General features: G+C 45.2%; 2 annotated features.

Annotated features, from left to right (window-relative positions):
- Positions 334-393: an enhancer, noted in NCBI's record as "active region_28154". NCBI's record gives its function as "activates an Ori minimal core promoter by ATAC-STARR-seq in GM12878 lymphoblastoid cells {active_cell/tissue: GM12878}" and the evidence as "EXISTENCE:reporter gene assay evidence [ECO:0000049][PMID:35858748]".
- Positions 414-573: an enhancer, noted in NCBI's record as "active region_28153". NCBI's record gives its function as "activates an Ori minimal core promoter by ATAC-STARR-seq in GM12878 lymphoblastoid cells {active_cell/tissue: GM12878}" and the evidence as "EXISTENCE:reporter gene assay evidence [ECO:0000049][PMID:35858748]".

Here is a 5,008-nt window from a genome sequence, read left to right as displayed (position 1 = left end):
CTTTGCCTCTACCCACCAGATGCCAGTGGCACCATCCCTGCCTCTCAGTTACCAGCTGTAACAACCAAAAATGTCTCTAGATATTGTCAAATGTTCTCTGGAATGGAAAAATCTCCCCTGATGGAGAACCACTGCTTTACTGCATGCCACAGTACACCAAACACAATTCAGCGGAATTTAAAAGCTTTTATAATAGCAACATATTCTTCTGTGTTTTATCCTATCTGCTAGTGCCTCCACCCCACTTTTCTATTAAACAAACTGAAACTCTGTCTAGGCTTTAATTTTTAGGTTGAGTTGTCAACAACCAGCAGAGGGCACTTCTAAAAATGGATTGATGCTTCTAAGTTCTGAGCCCCAGCAGGTGGTAGTAAGATAAAGGCAAAAGCCCACGGCTCGGTCCCATGACCCCTGAGTGTGGGATGAGGGGCCGCAGGAGGAAGACAAGACTGAGGGCTGAAGAAGGGATTTGAGGAGAGAAGAAATAGTAGAGCAGGGGAGTTGTCAGGCCAAGTAGTCAAAGATGTCAAAGATGTAACAGGCCCAGTGAACTGGAAATTGGTTCTAGGAACTAAAAGGGATTCCAGTTAGGTGGAGAGCTGAGGTTGCATCTAGTTTCCTAGAGGGACCTAGACTTCTTTCTCCTTTTGCCTGGCCTAACCCAACTGCCTCTAAAAGGGAGTGTGTGACAAAGCTGTAAACAACCCCACTCCACTTGTGACCCTGTGAGGGAGCCCAAGATATCACATTGTAACTGCCACATTGCATCACAATTACAACTGCTACAATGTATTATGCTCTGGGTCTGCCATACGGTTTTCTGGAGGGCCTAAAAGTTCCAGTAGTCTTCTCTCCAGGTTCCTGTCATGCTGGTTTTGTTATCATTCTCAGTAAAATGTCACCATTGACTCCGTTTTCTTGAGAGCCATGAACTCTTCTAAAAATAGGTCTAACATCAGCTTTCATTACATGCCTCTTCTCATGTACCACCAGGCTTGATTTTCCCTCTGTTTTCTTTCTTCCAACAACAACATATTCCAAAGTCCTTTCAGAGGCAGCTTGGCCTGATGGTTCAAACAGTTCTTTTCTGACATCTCTTCAGTCTTCTGGCAAAATTAGAGCAGTGCCTGGCTCACAAGGAGAAGAATGGCCACCTAAGACAGTGTAATTTTTTTCCCGAAAATATACTCATCACATATTTTCCCATTTTAAAATAATATATAGATAGTAGAGAAATTTTGCAAAGGACAGAACAGTAGAAAAAAATAAGATAATCCCAGCCAGGGCCATTCTAGATGAGCCAATGGCCAGTGGACTCTGTGTCCACTTGGCTTGGCAAGCCCAGCCAAGATCACCTAAGCTCAACCTGAATTAGCAAAGCTACATAGACTCTTGAATTAAACAAATGTTTGTTTTGCATGCTACTGAGATTTGTGTCATTCTGTTTTGAAACGTGATTGTGTCAATAGATAATTGATACTAAAAAGTGTGGTACTGGTGTAACACAACCTAAAACTTGTGACATTTAACTTTGAGATGAAGCAGTAGATGGAGGCTAAAAAAATGGTGAGGGAATTTTTAGAAGTGGCCTGAGAAATTGTGACAGCATTCTGTAGTAGCGAAATATTTAGCAACAGGACAGCCTGGGGTAACTTAGAAGACAGAAAGCAAAAGTAGCCACCAGCCAAAACTCGAAGGGACAGAGATTGTTCAAAACATATGAAGTCCTCAAGGACCTCACCTTTCTCTGGACAAGAAGCAAACAGAGAAAGTTGTTCAAAGGGCATACCTTTTAATGCCCTCTTCAGAAGAGGTCAAGTAGGGCAATGGAAAGTATGGAGGGCTATCAGAGGGCAGAACCAACAGCTGTGATGAATAGGCTGGCAAGCCTTTCCCAAGTAGCAGAGCTGGGCCCTAATTTAAAAACATTTCACTCCCTTAGAGGAGAGAGACCCAGCAATTTGCCCAGTAGGATTTCAGAACTACTGTGAACCTATGATTGCTATGTGCCCCTCATTCTTCCACTTTGGGAATTGGAGTTCCCGACTGGAATTCCCAATGCAATAAAGTTCTCATTTATCTTGTCTCTGTTTTATCACTGTATATTGGGTGTCTGAAACCACATAGCTTATCTTTTTAGTTTACAAGTCTCTGTGTCAAGAGAAGTCATATCTTGGCTTGACGTAGCTCACAAGAACCTGGATTTCAAACCTGTTTCCATGATTGGATGACACTTTTGGGGGGTCTGGGATGGGCTTTAGTATATTCTGCATATGAGAAATATGTGAATAATTTTATCCAAAAGGGAAGACTGTGATCAATTGTTTAAAAAATGACCTTAGTTATTCATCCGTCCTGTGATGATTAATTTTATGTGTCAACTTGACTGGGCTACGTGATACCCAGGTAGCAGGTAAAACATTTTTCCTGGGTGTGTCCATGAGGATGTTTCCAAAAGAGATTAGCATTTGGATCAGTAGACTGAGTAAATATCACCCTCACCAATGTGAGTGGGCATCATTCAATCCATTGAGGGCCTGAATAGAGCAAAAAGGCAGAGGAAAGGTGAATTTGCTCACTACTTGAACTGAGACATCCATCTTCTCCTGCCCTGAGACATTAGCATTCCTAGTTCCTAGGCCTTCGGGTTTGGGCTGGAATTACACCACTGACTTTCCTGGTCTCCAGCTTGCAGATGGCAGACTGTGGGACTTCTCAACCTACATAATCATGTGAGCCAATCCCTCAGAATAAATCTCTTCCTATATATCTGTCTATATCAAGATTTAGATCTCCATATCTACATATATCCTATTGATTCTGTTTCTCTGATGAATCCTAACTAATACATCTCTCTTATTCACATCTTTGCCTTGCAACTTTGAACTTTGTAATGCTCTCACACAATGACTGCAAAATCAGTCACGTAACTTGACCTATGTTACATTAGCAAATGTGACATAAGTAAAGACTTAAAATATGCTTGCATGTTCAGACTTGCTCCTTCTCTTGCACCCTGGCTACCCTAAACCACCCCAGTAATCCCAATCACTCCAACTGAGACATCATAGATCAGCAAACAGCCTGCCAACCCCTGGAAGTGTAAACATACCTTGCTAAGATCAGCAGAGCCACCTGGTTGCCTGGCAGTTCACCACAGATGCATAAGCAAGCCCAGGTGAATTCAGTCCAGGTCAGCTGAATCCCATAGACTCCTGAGCTAAATAAAGATCTATGGTTAGCCAGGTGTGGTGGATTAAACCTGTAATCCCACCACTTTGGGAGGCTGAGGCCGGCAGATCACTTGAGGTGAGGAGTTGGAGACCAGCCTGGCCAACATTGTGAAACCCTGTCTCTACTAAAAATACAAAAAAATTAGCCAGGCATAGTGGCAGGCACCTGTAATCCCAGCTACTCGTGGCTGAAGCAGGAGAATCACTTGAACCCAGGAGGCGGAGGTTGTAGTGAGCCGAGATCACGCCATTGCACTCCAGCCTGGGCAACAAGAGTGAAATTCCATCTCTAAATAAATAATAAATAGAGGTGGAGCCAAGATGGCCGAATAGGAACAGCTCCAGTCTACAGCTCCCAGAGTGAGCGACACGGAAGATGGGTGATTTCTGCATCTCCAACTGAGGTACCAGGTTCATCTCACGGGACAATGCCGGACAGTGGGTGCAGGACAGTGGGTGCAGCACACCATGCATGAGCCGAAGCAGGGCGAGGCATCACCTCACCCGGGAAGTGCAAGGGGTCAGGGAATTCCCGTTCCTAGTCAAAGAAAGGGGTGACAGATGGCACCTGGAAAACCGGATCACTCCCACCCTAATACTGCGCTTTTCCAATGGGCTTAACAAACGGCACAACAGGAGATTATATCCCGCACTTGGCTCAGAGAATCCTACGCCCATGGAGCCTCACTCAATGCTAGCACAGCAGTCTGAGATCAAACTGCAAGGCGGCAGTGAGGCTGGGGGAGGGGCGCCCACCATAGCCGAGGCTTCAGTAGCTAAACAAAGTGGCCCAGAAGCTCAAACTGGGTGGAGCCCACCACAGCTCAAGGAGGCCTGCCTGCCTCTGTAGGCTCCACCTCTGGGGGCATGGCACAGACAAACAAAAGGCAGCAGTAACTTCTGCAGACTTAAATGTCCCTGTCTGACAGCTTTGAAGAGAGTAGTGGTTCTCCCAGCATGCAGCATGAGATCTGAGAATGGGCAGACTGCCTCCTCAAGTGGGTCCCTGACCCCCGAGTAGCCTAACTGGGAGGCATCCCCCAATAGGGGCGGACTGACACCTCACACGGCCGGGTAACCCTCTGAGACAAAACTTCCAGAGGAACGATCAGGCAGCAGCATTTGCGGTTCACCGATATCCGCTGTTCTGCAGCCACCGCTGCTGATACCCAGGCAAACAGGGTCTGGAGTGGACCTCCAGCAAACTCCAACAGACCTGCAGCTGAGGGTCCTGACTGGTAGAAGGAAAACTAACAAACAGAAAGGACATCCACACCAAAAACCCATCTATATGTCACCATCATCAAAGACCAAAGGTAGATAAAACCACAAAGATGGGGAAAAAACAGAACAGAAAAACCAGAAACTCTAAAAATCAGAGCACCTCTCATCCTCCAAAGTAACGCAGCTCCTCACCAGCAACGGAACAAAGCTGGATGGAGAATGACTTTGACGAGTTGAGAGAAGGCTTCAGAAGATCAAACTACTCCGAGCTAAAGGAGGAAGTTCGAACCCATGGCAAAGAAGTTAAGAACGTTGAAAAAAAAATTAGACGAATGGCTGACTAGAATAACCAAGGCAGAGAAGTCCTTAAAGGTCCTGATGGAGGTGAAAACCACGGCATGAGAACTACATGATGAATGCAGAATCCTCAGTAGCCAATTCGATCAACTGGAAGAAAGGGTATCAGTGATGGAAGATGAAATGAATGAAATGAAGTGAGAAAGACGTTTAGACAAAAAAGAATAAAAAGAAACGAACAAAGCCTCCAAGAA

This window comes from Homo sapiens, chromosome 9, assembly GCF_000001405.40.
Source record: "Homo sapiens chromosome 9, GRCh38.p14 Primary Assembly".
Lineage (NCBI taxonomy): Eukaryota > Metazoa > Chordata > Mammalia > Primates > Hominidae > Homo > Homo sapiens.
The sequence above is the reverse complement of the archived record's forward strand: the minus strand, read 5'-3'. Positions and strand labels throughout refer to the sequence as shown.